The sequence below is a fragment of the Homo sapiens genome, chromosome 2 (genome assembly GCF_000001405.40).
Source record: "Homo sapiens chromosome 2, GRCh38.p14 Primary Assembly".
NCBI classification, from domain to species: Eukaryota; Metazoa; Chordata; class Mammalia; order Primates; family Hominidae; genus Homo; species Homo sapiens.
In genome coordinates, this window is record NC_000002.12 from 238981336 (window position 1) to 238999573 (window position 18238).

At 48.3% G+C, this 18238-nt stretch overlaps 3 annotated features.

The window, feature by feature from the left end:
• Positions 3645 to 4627: an enhancer, noted in NCBI's record as "H3K27ac-H3K4me1 hESC enhancer chr2:239906676-239907658 (GRCh37/hg19 assembly coordinates)". NCBI's record gives its function as "activates a minimal SCP1, AML or CMV promoter by ChIP-STARR-seq in primed H9 embryonic stem cells {active_cell/tissue: H9 hESC(primed)}" and the evidence as "EXISTENCE:reporter gene assay evidence [ECO:0000049][PMID:30033119]".
• Positions 4628 to 5608: an enhancer, noted in NCBI's record as "H3K27ac-H3K4me1 hESC enhancer chr2:239907659-239908639 (GRCh37/hg19 assembly coordinates)". NCBI's record gives its function as "activates a minimal SCP1, AML or CMV promoter by ChIP-STARR-seq in primed H9 embryonic stem cells {active_cell/tissue: H9 hESC(primed)}" and the evidence as "EXISTENCE:reporter gene assay evidence [ECO:0000049][PMID:30033119]".
• Positions 16035 to 16204: an enhancer, noted in NCBI's record as "experimental_57531 CRE fragment used in MPRA reporter constructs". NCBI's record gives its function as "activates a minimal promoter by MPRAs in K562 erythroleukemia cells, with activity observed for both the introgressed and non-introgressed 2:239919151 variant alleles {active_cell/tissue: K562}" and the evidence as "EXISTENCE:reporter gene assay evidence [ECO:0000049][PMID:34662402]".

The window sequence follows — 18238 nt, forward strand, 5'->3', positions numbered from 1 at the left end:
TTTCTTTGGCACATTTCACAGGCCCTGACTATCTGCTTGATAGTATTGAATAGGCCTGGTCCACTAAATAATAATTTGGCCATCTGATGGGTGCTATCAATGCCTAAGTGAAAGGTTTGGTGAAGGTTTTAAGTAATTTCCATTGGTTAGTTGCAGGAAAAAGTATTTGTCCTTTTTCAGTGGCTAGCCATGCTGAGGGGAGGAAACTATGTCTTCGTGAGGTTCCCCATTTCTTTTGCTGAGTACTGGGGCTTGGTTTCCTGGAGGGGATTACCTCATACTGGGGGTCCTTCTATAAGCATTTCTAATGGAGGGTCCTGCCTTGCAGCTCTTTTGGCTCCAATATCCCCTGGGCAGTTCCCTTCTATTTTCCTTTCCTTTCCTTTTTGATGACCCTGGCAGTGTAAGACTGTCACCTCTTTAGGTTTCTGTACAGCCAATAATAATCTCCTAATGGCTTCCTGATGTTTGATAGGTTAGGAATTCCCTTTCTCTCCATATTGCTGTGTGGGCATGGAGGACTAGGTAAGCATACTTAAAGTCTGTATATATATTTGCCCTTTCTCCTTTTCCTAATCCTAGTGCCCGAGTGAGGGCTATTAGTTCTGCCAGCTGAGCACTAGTTCCTGGAGTGAGGGGATTACTTTCAAGTATTCCATTATCACTGACCACTGTATACCCCGCTTTTTGAAGTCCTTTTTCTACAAAGGAACTTCCATCAGTATACAAGTTGAGGTCGGGATCAGTCAAGGGAACCTCTAGAAGGTCCCCTCGAGCAGCGTAGGTTTGAGCAATCACCTGTTGACAGTTATGTTCTATCTTTTCTTCATTGTCTGGAAGAAATGTGGCTGGGTTAAGAGTTGCACAAGTGCGCAGTTGCGGCACTGGCCCTTCAAGTAATACAGCCTGATATTTAAGTAAACGGTTGTCTGACAGCCATAAGTCTCCTTTAGCAGTGAGTATGCCGTTCACATCATGAGATGTCCACACAGTAAGATCTCTTCCCTGTATTATTTTAACTGCTTCAGATACTAAGACTGCTACTGCTGCCACTACCTGTAAACAATGAGGCCAACCTTTGTGATTATTTTTCAAAAATGGCTTAATTCTTCTTGGCCCTTCATGTTTTCATATACATTTTAGTGTCATTTGGTGTCAAATTCCACCCTAACCCTTGCCTTCCACCCCTCCCAAAAAAAACTATGGACGCTTTGTTTTTGGGGGTTTTTTAGAGGTTTTTTAAAAAACTTCTATTTTAAGTACAGGGGTGCACGTGCAGGTTTGCTACATAGGTAAATCTGTGTCACAGGGTTTGTTGTACAGATATTTTATCACCCAAGTATTAAGCTTAGTACTCATTAATTATTTTTCCTAATCCTCTCCCTCCTTCCACCCTCCACCCTCCAATGGATCCCAGTGTGTGTTGTTCCCCTCTATATGTCCCTGTGTTCTCATCATTTAGCTCCCACTTATAAGTAAGAACATGTGGTATTTGGTTTTTTGTTCCTGTGTTAGTTTGCTATGGATCATGGCCTCCAGCTCTATCCATGTTGCTGCAAAGGACATGATCTCATTCTTTTTTATGGCTACATAATTATATTGTGTATATGTATCATATTTTCTTTACCCAGTCTATCATTGATGGGCATTTAGGTTGATTCCATGTCTTTGCTATTGTGAATAGTGTTGCAACGAACATACCCGTGCATGTGTCTTTATAATAGAATGATTTATATTCCTTTGAGTATATACCTATGGGATTGCTGGGTTGAATGGTATCTCTGTCTTCAGGTCTTTGAGGAATTACCTTGCTGTCTTCCACAATGGTTGAACTAATTTATACTCCCACCAACAGTGTATAAGCGTTAAAAACTATGGACTTTTTGACTGGGATTGCATGAAATCTACATACCTATTTGGGAAGAATTTACATCTTCATATATTAGCTATTTCTCATCCATGAACTTAATGTATTCTTCCATTTGGGAGGCTGAGGCAGAAGAATCACTTGAACCTGGAAGGTGGACGTTGCAGTGAGCTGAGATCGCACCACTGCACTCCAGCCTGAGGGATAAGGCAAGACGATCTCAAAAAAAAAAAAAAAAAAAAAAAAACCAAACAAATAAAATAAATAAATGAATAAATAAATAATGTCTTTATAAAAAGTTCTCTTTTTCCATCATAGAATTCATATGCATTTTGTTCAAGCTTATTTCCAGGGACTTCATTTTTTTTAAAAAATGGTTTGTTTTTCTGTTTTTTTCCCTAGTTGTTTCTGGAATGTAAAATGTAATTGATCTTTGTATATTGATTTTGTATCCAGCAACTTGTTACATTCTTATTAATTCTAATAAATTCAACTTAGATTCTTTATGTACTTTTAGGCACACAATCATAATATCTGTGAATAGTGGGGGAGCTGAACACAGCTCACTAAAAGCAGGACACCCATGTGGGTGGTTATGGGTATATTTGGCTTTCTCTAGTTGGTCCTATGTTAGAAGCAGGGACAAAAATTAGGGAAGATGTCAGCTGTTCATTGAATCCTGGCCACTTGGGGTCAGTTGTTACAAAGGCTCTTGTTTGGCTTCCTGGACAGGTTGCTGGAGATGGTGGCCTGCCTTCCTCCACATCTGGCTTATTGACAGCAAGCTGGCCTCGGGGCTGGTCACTGTAGGAAAGGGGTGGGTTTCCGGGGCTGGTTGCCGCAGGTTGCAGGCCAGAGCTTTGTTTTTGTTTGTTTGTTTGTTTTGAGACGAAGTCACGCTCTTGTCACCCAGGCTGGAGTGCAATGGCGCAATCTCGGCTCACTGCAAGCTCTGCCTCCCGGTTTCAAGCAATTCTCCTGCCTCAGCCTCCCCAGTAGCTGGGACTACAGGTGTGCGCCACCACACCCACCTACTTTTTTTTGTATTTTTAGTAGAGACGGGGTTTCACTATGTTGGCCAGATTGGTCTTGAACTCCTGACCTTAGGCGATCAGCCCGCCTCGGCCTCCCAAAGCGCTGGGATTACAGGCATGAGCCACCACGCCCGGCCGCTCTGTTTGTATACACGGTCTGACCAGTGTCCATCTGTGTAGTCAGCTTCTCACTCTGCAACAGGTAACTAAAGGAAGCATGGAGATCACTCAGCTTCCAACCTGGCTTCTCTCTTCTCAGCTATAAGACTGAGTCAGGATCCACCATCTAACTCTGCTGTGAGCAGGGTCAATATTAAATGATCCTGTTCAATGTTTTCACCTGTTTTCCAAGAAAGGGTCTGAATGATTTGAAGAGGAAATATTTTTGTTTAGAAATAAATTATTGTCAAATAACATATATCAAAATTTGAGAAAAAATAAGCATTCAAGGTCTCTGACTTGACTGAAGAAAGCTTCAACATGTGCATCTATAGTGAGACACAGTCATTTTTGTGGTTGGTGGGGAGCTGCTTTTCCTACAGAAGTACGGAACCATGCATGACGCTGGCAGAATCCAGGTCAATGAGCATGTGCTTAACCATAATTTTTAAAAATACATATTTTGTTTTGTACCAAAGGGCTTTCATCTTCTCCTCCTTTGTAAAAATCACACAGCTTTTGAGTCCGTTTGTGTTGGCTTTCATTGAACTGTCCTGGGTTTTATCAGCCCAGAGACATTCCCTCCAGGACTCCTACGGGTGCCACCTCCAGAGCGGTAATCAGGGCTAAGCTTAATTAGAGAGAAAAACTTCCAGAAAGGGCAACTCCATCCCTTTTTATGGTAAAATAAACACATTTCCAAAAGGGGCCTTTCCTTTAATTAAATTCTCTGCAATGTGGCAGCTGCTTGGGAGGTATTTTTGCATATTTGGGTTTAAGAAGATGTATGTACATAGAGGTGATGTCACATTTGGAATGATGAGTGTTTATAAGACCAAGTTTATGAGTTTACTAACTCGCAAGCCAGCTATCTTCATACCAGAAAGGACAAAGCCAGCGTCCAAGCGTGGGCCTTCCCACGTCCAGCCATCTCGTAAAAACAGGCGAGGTGGGCCTCGGGAGAGACACAAATGTCAGGGGCGCAACACAAAAACCGAACAGGAATGTGGGGATGGGGGCTGCCGGCCCCTGGCGCTCAGCGGGAGGCCCCACCATAGAGCTGGGGCCCAGGGAGTTTGAGTATTTACCCCAGAGGTTACCCAGGATGGACGTGTTCAGTCTGGGCACACAATCAAAGCCCGCGCGGGCCCCTCAGGGAGGGTCTTTCCCCTCCTGCTGGGAGGCAGGGTCCCCAGCGCCCCCTGACCTCGCCCTTGCAATTGCTCAAACTTCAGGACCGCTCATCCCAGGCTCCACGGGGCTGCTGCAGAGCCAAGAAGACCCTGTTCTACTGAGCGACCGTTCAAGGGACAGTACTTTTTAGGGGGGTCAATATGAATCTCCTAATTTAACCTCTCCGCTGCCACAGCCATTCAACCCGTCCCTACAGAGCTCCTGCAGCGGTGCTCACGTGGCCTTCGGGAGGATCCACCAAGGTCACCTGCGTCACACCGGGGAACGACTCCCTCCCTCCCAAGAAAGCTCCGAGACAAAACCTGTACCAGGAAGGGTCCCTCGGCTCGTGGTGCTGCAGTGAGCCAGGCTACACCCTGGCTGGCAGAGCCCCGGGGCTTCCAGCAGCGCAGCCCTAGGCCTGCGGAGGGAAGGCTGCACTCCAGCCTGTCGGGGCCGCCGGACAGCTCTCCTGGGAGGCTTGGGCCTGGCACACTGGGGCCCTCGCTCCCCTCTCCATCGCCCTCTAACCTTGGTTCAGCTCCCGGCCCGCCCCTTCCCAGTGGGAACAAAGGCAGTAGCGATGTCCTCGCTGCCGCCTTCTTCCTCCAAGAGGAGTCCACTCCCTGCAGTCCGGCCCCGCTGCCTCTCCACGCGGGCTGCCTCTTTCTCATCCCTGCGCCGGCGCATCCTCTCAGATCCACAGCAAGGAGGGGACGTGCGGGGGAGGGGTCGGCTGGCTAAAACCCAGGCTCGCCCACAGAATGGTGGGACCCCTGCCTCAGGTGGTGGGAGATGCGTGCAGGGTCCCAGCCCCAGGGCAGGCGCCTCAGCCTCTGCGCGGGGCCGCCCTGCTCTTCCCTGGCTCGCTGGGATCCAGGCCCTGGTCTAAGCCCCTGGCCTCACCTGCCCTGCGCAACCAACGGCCCCAAGGTCCAAATGCAGGGACCCTCTCGGTGACCCAGGACGTGCTCAAGTTACCTTCTTCCTGGCACACACACCCACCCCTAAATTCAAAACTATCCCCGGCCATTTGGGAAGCAAGGCTCGCTCTCGCTCCCCTGGGGCTGTCTCCTTGCGCGGAGGGCTCCAAGCTCAGGGCGGGTCGGCTCAGGCAGGGTCTGGGGGCTCGGCGGGGCGCGGGTTCAGGCAGGCCCAGGGAGCAGGCGCATGGGGCGACCGCAGAGCTCCAGGACACACAGTCCGGGTCAGTGTTCCCTAGAGACCCCTCCAAGAGCCCCTCCTGGACACCTGTGCCGACGCGCAGCCACATTTGTCCTCTTCAGGTGGAAACAGGGCCAGTCTGACACTCCCCAGTCCACGCCCTGCACACCCCCAGACCCTCCACCCTTGAGGTGGACGCCGCCCTGAGAAACCCTCTCTCCTTCCTCTGGCAGCGTCACCTGCCGTCTGCACTGGCACCTGCCGCAGTTCTCTAAGTGCACCTGGGGACGCTCACTTGTGGCCTCAGGAGAAGGATCTGGAGGACGAGGAAGACAGAGGCAGGGACATTTTCTGATGCATCAGAGACCCGCGCCTACTGCGTTAGCCCCAGTAGAGACAGCCCTGGATTTTAGAGCCGGTAAAGCCTGGGGTCACTGTGGAAGGCTCTGTCCCGCTCCTGAGGAGACCCTCCCTCTTCTGCCGGGTTCAGGCGTGGAGATCAGAGGGCAGGCAGGGACCAGAGCATCTGACTCCCGGGACGCCTCACGACCCCGAGAGAGGAGCATAAATGTGGCCTAACAAGAATGCCCTTCTCACCCCCTTGCATCCTCCCCTCCCGCAAGCATCCCTGGTGAGGGGACAGGCAGGACACACCATTGAAACATAATTTGAGAACACAAGAAAACAATATGAGGCTGATTTCTTAGCATGCTGAATGGAGAGACGGTCAAAACAAAACAAAACAAAAAACAAACTAGATGGATTTCGCAACTGGAGGCGGAAGGAGCTTTGTAAGAGCCCAAGGAGAATCTAATTAGAGACTTCAACTAGAGTTTTGCAAATGAATTATTTACAATTCTTCAGAGGGAAATGATTATAATAATAACCTTTACAATGCTGAAATTAAGCTTATTATGCTCTTTTCCTCTGCCCCAGAAATTGTCTGAGGTCTGTCATCAGGCAAGATGCAAGGCGTAAGCTCTGCCTCCCGCTCCGGGCAGCGCCTGGGGCCAGCCTCGGGCCCTGGCTCAGCCCAGAGTCGGGGATGTGGTCAGCCAGGCGTTTAAAAGAGAAAGCCAGCAAGCGTCCTTTGCGTCTTTCCGTCCTTTGTTTCTCTCTTGTGACTTGAGGATGCTCTAAGTCAGGCTTGAGGAGTTGCAGAGGCTCAAAGAAGAAATCACAGCATCTATTCCTAGGGTGGGCAGGCCCCGGAACTGCCAAATGTAAAATAAACCATGTGAACTGAATGAGAAGAGGGGTAGAGGTGTTATGAAAAAGCAACTCAAAACAGGAGATTCCTTATGGCCTCCTTGGCACGTGCTACTTGGATTGGGAACTGAGGGTCAATCTGTTTAGAAGTCAGCGCATCCCAGGGGCTAGGCAGCTGATGCTGGTCCTCACAGAGCCCCCGACAGGGGTGCAAAGCGGGTAAATGCTACACCTCAACATCCCTCTTCAGGCCCTGCACTGCTGTCCTTCGATTTTATTAACTTCCTCCTTGACATGGGCCAGGCCTCCTCCCAGCCCTTCCTTGCCTCGGGTCCCCCAGGGCGTGGCTGCAGACAGGGCTGACTCTGCAGGTTGGCAGGCACTGCAGTGGCTGTGTCTAGTCACTGTACCCGAGTCCCCATCCCAAGTCCACACCACACCTGTAGTGGGTTGAATGGTGGCCCCCACAAAAGATAAGCCCATGTCCCAGAACCTGTGACTGTTTCCTTGTTTGGAACAAGGACCTTTACAGGTGTGATTAAATGAAGGCTCTCGAGGCCAGATGATCCTGGGTGATCTGGGTAGATCCTAAGTAGCCAACGACAGATGTCCTCCTAAGAGACAGAGGAGAAGACACAGGGAGAGGCAAGGGCCGTGCCCATGCGGAGACAGAGGCAGAGATGGAGGAGAGCTTGGAGCCACCAGAAGGCAGAAGAGACGAGAATATTCTCCAGGAGACCCTTTGGGGAAGCACAGCCCAGACACACCTGGATTTTAGACTTCTGGCCCCCAGAACTGGGAGAGAGTAAGTTCCTGTTGTTGAAGGCACCCAGGTCATGGTCCTTTGTGGCAGCCCCAGTGCCATCAGCCTTCCCCAGTGATCCCTCTCCATCTGTCTCTGCCACCGCCCTCCCTCCCTGAGAAGGCAGCGGTGGGCGGTCATGCCCTGTCCCATCTGCTCACTCACACAGGCCTCATTCTTGGCCAATCTGTAAACAGGCACCTGCTTGGGCAGGACTCTGGCAGCAAGTGCTGGAGTCCAAGTGCACTCAGCATCAGCCAGAGCAGCCTTATAAGATCATGGGCCCACCAAGGGCAGGGAGGCCCATAGCTGGAGACGCAGGGCCCTCTCACCAGTGGCAGCCACAAAATGCAGGAGGGCCTGTGATGAGCCCTACCTAGGTTGGGCGTGCAGCCACACCTCATCCCTGAGGCAGTCCCTGGGATGATACCGATGGCTCGGTCTTGGACCAGGTTGTGCAGACAGCTTTCAGCTACCAAGCAGGTGGAGGCAGCAAAGACATGGAGGTGGGCTGTACTAGTGAGGGCTGTCCAGAGGGACAGATCAATAGAATAAATGTAAGGGAGTTTAATAGGGAGAATTGGCTCATACGATTATAAGGCAAAGCCCCACAATAGGCTGCCTGCAAGCTGGGAAAAGAGAGAAGCAAGTGGTGTGCTCAGTCTAAGTCCAGAAGCCTCAAAGCCATGGAAGCTGACAGTGCAGCCCTCAGTCTGCAGTCAAAGGCCCAAGAGCCCCCGAGAGGCTGCTAGTGCAGGCCCCAGAGTCCAAAGGCTGGAGAACCTGGAGTCTGATGTCCAAAGGCAGGAGGAGAAGACGCAAGCATCAGGCATGGGAAGAGAACGCAGAGACTCAGCAAGCTGCTTATCCCCCTTCTTCTGCCTGCTTTGTACCAGCTGCGCCGGGAGCCAATTGGATGTTGCTCACCCACACTGAGGGTGGGCCTTCCTCTCGCAGTCCGCCCACTAGAATGTCAGTCCCCTCTGGCAACACCCTTGCAGATACACCCGGAACGATGCCTCCCTCGCCATCTAGGCATCCCTCAATCCAGTCAAGTTGACACTGAATATTAACCATCGTGCTGATGAAAAAAATCCAAATCCTATAAAATATTTGAAGAGATTTATTCTGAGCCAAATGTGGGGACCATGACCCATGACACAGCCACAGGAGGTCCTGAGAACAAGTGTCCAAGGTGGTTGGTTTATAACTTAGTTTTATATGTTTTAGGGAGATGTAAGACATCAACCCATGTATGCAAGGTATGCATTGGTTCAGTCCAGAAAGGCAGGACAACTTGGAGTAAAGTGGAGGCTTACAGATCATAGGTGGAGTCAAAGATTTTCTGATTGGCAATTGGTTAAAAGGGTTAAGTTTTTAATGTTTTTTTAAATTATACTTTAAGTTCTAGGGTACATGTGTATAACGTGCAGGTTTGTTACATATGTATACATGTGCCATGTTGGTGTGCTGCACCCATTAACTCATCATTTACATTAGGTATATCACTAAACCTATATAGCGATACTATACCTATATAGTATAATGCTATCCCTCCCCCCTCCCCGCACTCCACAACAGGCCCCAAAGTGTTAAGTTATTATCTAAAGACCTGGAATCAATAGAAAGGAGTGTCTAGGTTAAGAGAAGGGGGTGTGGAAACCAAGGTTTTTATTATATAGATGAAGTCTCTTAGGTGGCTACCCTTAGAGGAAATAGAGACTTTTAGAAGGTTTTAGACTCTCAGTTAATCTCTTCAGGAGCAGAAAAAAGACCTGAAAATGGAGGAGAATTCTCCATAGAATATTGATTTCCATCACAAGAGACAGCTTTGCAGGGCCATTTCAAAATATGTCAAAAAAATACATTTTGGAATAAAATACTTTGATATTTCTTCAGGGCCTGCTATGTGTCATGTGATGCTATGGTAGAGTCATGCTGGAATTTGATATCTTACTGCTACCAAGAGTCTGCTTTTTTTTTTTTTTTTTGAGATAGAGTCTTGTTTTGTCACCCAGGCTGGGGTTCAGTAGTGCAATCTCAGCTCACTGCAACCTCCACCTCCTGGGCTCAAGTGATTCTCCTGCCTCAGCCTCCCAAATAGCTGGGACTGCAGGCAAGCACCACCACACCCAGCGAATTTTTCGTATTTTCAGTAGAGACGGGGTTTCACCACATTGGCCAGGCAGGTCTCAAACTCCTGACCTCAGGTGATCCACCCACCTCAGCCTCCCAAAGTGCTGGGATTACAGGCATGAGCCACCCCACCTGGCCAAGAGTCTGCTTTGTCAGTCTTAAGATGTCTGTTTTAATGCTAATGCTGGTCAGCTGTGCCTGAACTCCACGGGGACGAAGGCATAATGAGTCATGTCTGACCCCTTCTTGGCCATCATGGCCTGAATTAATTCTTTAGGTTTCTTTAGAATTCCCTTAACTGAGAAGGGGGTCCGTTCATTCAGCTGCCAAGCTTAGGATTTTATTTTTGGTTTTTACCATCACACGGGGAACCTGCAAGTCAACGGCTCCCTGGTGTGTGTCTACCTCCAGGCACAGGCCTCAGGCCAGTCCTCCTCCCCTCTTCCTTGCTCTTTTCCTGTCTCTCCCTGTGGAGTTGCCACCACACAGCAAACTCCTCCAAGACCCCAGTCATCAACCCTCCACTGATCTCACATCCTTGGGCTTCCCCAACTCCATTCACCTGGATGGGAGCCAGGGTTCACCTTGCTTGGATCAAACTAAACCATTTCTCTCTCTCCTCCTCCACACTCGGATCTCCCTCTTCAGCAAAAGTGTCGGACACTCTGACTTTTGGGGATTGAGTTTCTCTGGCCCCCGCCATTCCACCTGTCTTCCTTGGATTGTCCCCACTGCCCGAGAGGGAAGGATACACCCACCTCATCTTCCCCCATCGTCTCCTTGACCTGCTCTTGCTAGACTGCAACCTCTTTCCATTTCTCTTTGCAACCATGTTCCCTTGTGGGGCTGGATTGCAGCCCATGTGTTAGAGAAACCTGGCTGGAAGTTTAGGTTGCTCTGCCCAGAAGCCGTGAGAGTAACGGGGAGGTGATAGATGTGAAGGATGGAAGACCTTGTAGCAATTTGGACAGAGACTGTATGGCGCCGCCCAGAGAGACGGTGTTCCCTACCCAGTGGTGTTTATTTATAGGATGGCCATGACTACGTAAAGGTTATGAACCCATGTGATTGGTAGAAAACAGGAAAACCCTGAAGGGAGGGCTTTCCATTTTTAATGCCTATTATTGTTACAATGCTCTTTGCACAAAAAGAAATACAAGGTTTAGCTCATTTGCCACTTGGCTATCATTCCATGGCTGGGGGCGTCATTCTCCCACATAGCAGCACTGAGCAGCTTGGCATTGGTGGGTTGTTTTGTGTTTTTTGTTTTGTAAATACAAACCTCAGGCTTGTCAGAGAATAACCCAGAAAACTGGCACTATTGCCAAAAACCGTAATGGCAGGAAGAGTGTGGAATCCGCAGCTACAACTGGCTCCACGTCTGCAGGGAAGCAGCAGGGGACGCCTCCGTTACTGTGAAGTCCTCTGCGTGGAGATGAGCTCGGAGCAGCCGAGGAGCCACCACTTTCAGCATCAAACCTTTGAAGCATTTTCGTAGAAGTTTTTTTTTTTAAATGGATTAACCACTTCTCCAACCTCTTAAGAGAACCACACTAAACAGTATTCTTTTCTCTACAAACTCAAGGTCATCAACATGAACATAGACCTCTCTTGAACTGAGATGGGCCACAGTGAGGATCCCAGGACTCAACGGGTGGGGGTTTGCAGGAGACCTCAGAGACTATGCCTCTACATGAGAGCTTTGTAAATTCTTTGTAGATTCTTTTATTTCTGAAACAGTGCAGCCAAGTGCTGATGTTCGTTGAAGCTGGGTGATAGGTACACAGAGGTCCCTGGTAATCTCTACTTTTACGTAAGTAGAGGATGGAAATTATGTGTGGAAATTTCTACCATAAAATCTTGAAATTTTTTCCCCTGTTTTGTACAGTTTTTCCTGTCTTCTAAGAAAGATCTTGGTGTCGGGCTGGACAGATGTCATTCCCTGCTGTTTCCAGCATGCCCACCTCTAACCTGCTGCTTCTCATCAACTAGGACCCTACAGTCTAGAAACTCCTAACTCCTGTTAGCACTTCAGGTAAAGCACAGGTCCCCAGGCTCTGCCTGAAGGATTTTTTTTCGTAGGAATTTACTCCAAAGATATACCCCACTATACAAAAACACCTGTATATAAAGTTATCTAGTAGGGCACCGTGGCTTATGCCTGCAATCTCAGCACTTTGAGAGGCTGAGGCGGGTGGATCACTTGAGGTCAGGAGTTCGAGACCAGCCTGGCCAACATGGTGAAACCCCATCTCTACTAAAAAAATACAAAAATTAGCCAGGTGTAGTGGCAGGCACCTATAATCCCAGCTACTTGGGAGGCTGAGGCAGGGAGAATTGCTTGAACCCAGGAGGTAGAGGTTGCAGTGAGCAGAGATCGCACTGCTGCACTCCAGCCTGGGTGACAGAGCAAGACTCTGTCTCAATAAAATAAATAAATAAATAAATAAAGTTATCCAGTATAGCAGGGATTTTTTATAATTAAAAAATATTGAATGCCCACACACAGGAAATGTGTCGAATTAATGGTGGCACAGAGTGGGGCACTATGCAGCTGTGGAAAGAGAAAGATTGCTGTGAACTCACGTGGCATGTCAAGACACCATATTAAGTGATATAAGCAAGGGGCACAGAAGTATATATATAATGTTAACTTTTGTTTAAGGAAGGAAAGGAAATAAGTACATATACTTATTCTTACAAAAAGAAACCAAAATAAACCAGACATGAAATAGGTTTGGAGGAATGGGTAGGAATGGTATGGGTAGGATAGGAAGGAATTGGTACTTCTCTGAGTATACCATATCTCTTTTGTATAGTTTTTGATTCTTGGAACCAAGTTAATGTTTTACATATTCAAAAAAATTGAGTCAACAAAGAAGGAAGGGAAAAACATAAAGCTATATACACACAGAAACAAATGAATCCAGCTGCATCTCACAGGGCTGACATAACTGCTGTAATTCCCAAAGTCAACTGTGCCCACAGCCCCCATCCCACCAATTCTTGGTGGAAATGATTTGGGGCCAGCTTCAGGAACATGCCTTCACTCCTGCTCTTGAAGCCTTGAGCTTCTGTACAAGAAGTTCAGCCTCCTCTGCTGGAAAGGGAGTTGTGGAGGGGGAGCTGAGGCCCCACATGAGTGATGAAGCCATCTCGGACATCCATCCAGGCTGAGTCCTTGCCTGACTTCACACTATCTGCTACACCCAGATGAGACGCCCCAAACAAGAACCACCCAGCTGAACACAGTCAACCACAAAATTGTGAGGATAATGAAATGTTTTTACACCTCTAAGTGTTGGGTAGTGTGTTATAAGGCAACAGATGACCAGAACAGTAACCACATAGAAGGGGAAAAAAAACATATTAAAGTAACATTTGAGGATAACCTCAGTCGAGAGAGAAAAACATCCTTTTGCTGGGTATAAATCTTGAACTTTACTCAGTATGTTTATTTTTGAAACTATTTTGTGTGTGTGCTATGATTGTGTAAATGAGTAATTATAAAGATGTAGGAAAAGGAGAAACAAATGTGAAATAGTGGAAGGCAAGTCAGAACTTTGCAGCATTAGGCTAACCTGAGACCGGTTTGGACGAACTTATAGCCAAGATACCTATATAAATATGAATACCACACACAAAACTTGAAAATGTTTGTGTGTGTGGTATTCATATTTATATAGGTATCCTGGCTCTGTCCATGGAAAGTGCTCTGAAACAGTGACACCCATCAGCAGTGAGCACACTAGTGGCCACACTTGGTCTCTAAATCCCATTCTTCACTAAGAGAAAGCAGAGTTCTTTGGAGAAGTGGTTGAGTCCAGGACCAAAGCAAGTGAGAGAAGCCTAGAATGTCTTGTTTCTGCCACAAAGTAAAAAAAAATATGCTCAAAATATGATTGAAGCATATGAAAAGGAGGGGGCTCCCACCGGCCAAACCAAAGGCAACGTGAGTATCAAGATGAATAGTAAGACCAATGGGCTAGAATGCATTAAATTTGTTAAAAAGAGAGAAACACCATGTGTCCATATTTATTTTAGAAAGAAACAGAAGAGAAGAAAATGTCTTCTACTGTAAATAGAATATCAACTAATAAATGTGGAAGGAATGATAAGGGTTAGAAAATAATAATTTTGCAACCAATACAGTAATAAATGATTCACGCAAGAATCAGCAACAGATGCTAAAACCAATGAGTCAAAGTATATTAGGAAACAGCTTGTTTCTTCAGTTTCAAAGTTTCAAAAAAATGTATGTTGACAGTGGAGGACTCTGCAACATCACCTTAACCAAGTGATCAAAGTAACATCTCTAACCATGGGACAAAGGGACTTTGTGTGCCTCGTGATATGGTACACTGAGAAGGACACAACATCAGTTGTTTCGTGTCCTTGCCAAAAATGCAACCATAAATAAAATCATAAGGCAACCATGAGACAAATCCAAATTGAGGGGCATTGTACCAAACAAGTGGGCTGTACTCTTCAAAAATGTCGTAAAACACAAAAGACACACAATGTTATAGCGGCATTATTCAGAACAGCCAAAAGGCTGAAGCAACTCAAGTGTCCATTGACAGATAAATGGATAAAATCTGGTATACACCTACAATGCTGTATTATTCAGCCTTAAAAAAGAAAGAAAATCTGACACATGCTACAACATGGATGAATCCTGAGGACATTATTTGAGTGAAATAAGCCAATCACAAAAGATTATATGATTCCATTTTAATGAGGTACCTAGACAGAAAGTAGAATGGTGGTTGCCAGAGGCTGGGGAGAGGAGGAATGGGGAGTTAGTGTCTCATAGGTACAGAGGTTCAGTTAGGGAAAATGAAAAAGTTCTGGAGATGAATGGAGGTGATGGTTGCATGGCAATGTGAATAAACATGACTGACACCACTGGAATGTACATGGTTAAGATGGCAAATGTTAAATTATGTGTTTTTTACCACAATTAAATAAACTTTTTTAACAAGACAAAAGGAAGCTCAAGAATATTAATAGACACGACAAACAAAAGCATTGTGCAATCCTGCATTGGGAGTTGGGGGTAGAGATGCTACTAAGCACATTATTAGGACAATGGGCAAGATGTGGCTGCAAACTGCATTTTTTGATAATAGTATTATATCAATGTTACATTTTCTGAATTTGATAACTTTATCATACCGTGCTGGAGAATGTATTATTATTTTTATTATGAATTATTTTTAGGAGGTGTGCACTGAACTTTTAGAGCTTAAAGGTGATGATGTCTGTGACTTACTTTTGTATGTTCCAGGCAACCCAGACCCTGGATCTGCTTGGTCTTGCCCAGCTTTTTAGGCACTCGGACGCTAGGCAGCTGAGCTGGGAGAGGGGCATCCACCAGCCTCAGAGCCACCACATGGCTCTCCACTCCTTCCATCCCTGATAAGCACAGGTGACTCCATCTGGAACTTCATGTCCTTGAACTCCAGGACTCCTCAGCCACCAGGAAGGACCGGGAGCTCTGAGGCTGGTTTCCGCAGGAGTCGGCCCGAGCTGGAGACATCTGACCAGTGGTGATGGGGCCGGCTCCGCTCCCTCCATCCCACCAGGCCAGGTGAGGTAGAGCCAGAGAGGGCATCTGAGCGGGAGGCAGGGCCCCTTCATAGTGTGGTCCCTGGCTCCCCTGTCCCTGGGGGTTAGGAGGGTCTTGGGGGCAGCCGGGAGCAGAGCCCAGGGCCGCAGGAGGAGCAACTTTGGCTGCCCTTTCCTTGGGGCTCTGGCCAAACGCCAGCCTCTGCAAGAGTCCAGACCCAACTTTGCCCAGGGTGCCTGTGGAGGGTGGGCTGCTCAGACCCGTGCGTCCCCACAGAGGGGCCGGAGTCCCACTTCCATGGGGGCAGGGAGTGCCCAGTGCATCCTTTTCCCTAGAATGCCTCACCTCTGGGAAAGCTGTCACTGGTTTCGAGCCAGCTGGTCCGCCTGGGACCGTGTCCCCTTCACCATATTGGGCAGGCTCAGCGTGGGCTCGGCCATGCCATGGGACAAGGTATGCCTATGGGCTCCTGGCTGCCTGGGCCCCCGCCTCGGCCCACCTTCACACACAGCTCAGCAAGAGCTTGCTCTGGGCACTGGGCTGAATTCCTTCACAAGGGGGAGAAGGGGAAAAATATAATCTAAAAATACAATATGACAAAGTGCTGGCCTTCAGCTTGTGTGGGCCACTGGTGAAAACTGTGCCAGCTTCCTGGCAGGCTCGGGAGGGCAGGGAGATGCAGGTTCCCGCAGCTCACAGTAAAGTGTTGTGAACCCACGAAGGACCGCTCCAGGCCTGCGCTCCAGCACCAGCCACCGCCGTCCACCCCACACAACAGAGGTTTCATCACCACATTCTTAGTGCTTTGGAAAGACCTGCTTGACCTTTCTATGACCTAAAATTAACGCTCCGAAAGCTCGAAAGCTCCTTAAAATATTACCTTTCTCCTCCCTCCCGAAAATCTTAAGTTTGTGTCTCTGCCAAGGACTGGGGGTTAGATCTGGAGCAAACCAAGGGCCGGCTTTCCCGGAGAGGCCCTGGGGGCCAGCATGGCCTCGGTGCTGGCCTTCTTGTCCCTCTCGGTGAAAAAGGGTGATGGGAAAGCACGACCCTTGGCCCGGCTCAGTGCACTTCATGCTCCCTCCTGGTAACATCAAAAAGATGAAAACTTTTAATCCCACCCTGGACCCAAAAGTGTTGCTCTTGGCTCCAGAACAACAAAGTAAGAGTAATTAATAGAAGGCCAGAGACTCAGGAAAACAGCAACTGATTTCATGAGGCTATGAGGACCCTTTACGAGAGCCTGTGGCACCCCATCCTGCTCGCTCCCCGGCAGAATGGCTGTGGCTCCCGAGAACAGATGGCAAAGGGATGCACCTTTATGCCAGAGACGCACAGCATTCCCTAAACTCCCAGTCATTCAGCAGCAAAGCCTCCCGTGAAGGCAGGACAGGAAAGAGCCGCAGCTCTGTGAGTTAGGGGAGGAGGTGCTATGAACCACACTCCCTCGGCATGGTGCAGGGCACCGGCAGGTGCCTGGGTCACCTTCCTGTCTTAATTGTACCAGGTCTAGACCCAGCTACTGGGAGGTGAGGTAGACCCAGCAGTCCTGGGAGCTCTCTCCCCGCAAAAAAGACCAGTCCCTGTATGCATCTGCAGATTCCCCAGCAAAGGCAGCAAAACATACCCCCAACCCCTGCTGGGGACCTACCCTGAATATTTCCTACCCTTAGGAAATAATAATCTTCCTTCCTTCCCTCCTTCCCTCCCTCCCTCCCTCCCTTCCTTCCTTCCTTCTCTCCTTCCTTCCCTCCCTCCCTCCTTCCTTCCTTCCTTTATTCCTTTTTTCCTGTCTTCCTTCTTTCTCTCTCTTCCTTTCTCTCCTTCCTTCCTTCCCTCCTTCTCTCCCTTCCTTCATTTATTTATTTATTTCTCTCTCTCTCTTTCTTTCTTTCTTTTTCTTTCCTTCCTTCCTTCTTTCCTTCCTTCCTTCTTTCTTTCTTTCAACAGAATCTCACCCTGTCACCTAGGCTGGAGTACAGTGGCGTGATCCCAGCTCACTACAGCCTGAACCTCCCAGGCTCAAGTGATCCTCCCGCTTCAGCCTCCTGAGCAGCTGGGACTATAAGCATGTGCTACCATGCCTGGGTATTTTTTTTGTAGAGCTGGGGTCTTGTTATGCTGCCCAGGCTGGACTCCCCTGGGTTCAAGTGATCCTCCTGCCTTGGCCTCCTAAAGCACTGGGATTACAGGTGTGAACCACCACGCCTGGCTATACACCTTTTAAATGTTGTTTCTGCTCACATTTGGTGGGGAAGAAGCCTCTATCTGAGGTTTGTTTTCTGAGAAGCACATGGGGTGTGGAGGGAGGGGCCTGGGGAGAAAGAACGTCACCATTTGACAGCCATGCACAGGAAAGGTGGGTGAACCTGGGCAAATCTCTGGAACCATCTAAGCTTCCCAATTAAAACGTCAGCCCCACAAGACCGGTGTCTGCTTGGTGTGTGCACACATATGAACTCATCAAGTAGGCAGGGAAGATATTCACATTCCAAGAAGAAAATACAGCTTGGAGAGTGTAAATCTCGTTCAAGGTCACAGGCTGAACACTGGCCAAGCCAGGAATAAAAATCAAGTCCTCTGACTCCAAGCCCTGGGCGCTTTCTGCTGCAGCACCTGGGCTTCCAGAAATCTTAAGCATCTCAAATACAGCCATGAAATGGAGAATCAATTTTAAAGTCCCTCTGAGCGGCAGTAAAAATATCTACTGGAGAGGCGGCCTCACCCCAAGATCCCAAGGGTTGCATTAAATCTAATATTAAGATTACGAGTGTGACAGAGTTGTTTGTCGGATCGGTCCTGTTGTAAGGAACAGAGATGTACTCAGGTTGCTGGGGTTAATGAGGTCAGGGCTGGAGAGACGCAGGAAGCTGGGAGAAACGTTGCGAGCTCAGAGCAGGCCTTTCAGAGGGCGGGAATGTTACCCAGAACACGCTTGTTTGCCACTGCTCAGCCACGAAGTCCGTCACTGATTCTCAGGTACTCCACTTCCAGGCCCCGGCCAGGCCAGCTGGCCCCTTTCCCTTCTCTCCAGTCTCAGCACTTGGCTTTCCTCCTGCCCCTCCTGGCTTCTGTCTCGCATCCCCACGCTGGACTCACCAGACCCTATCACTCTCTCCTGA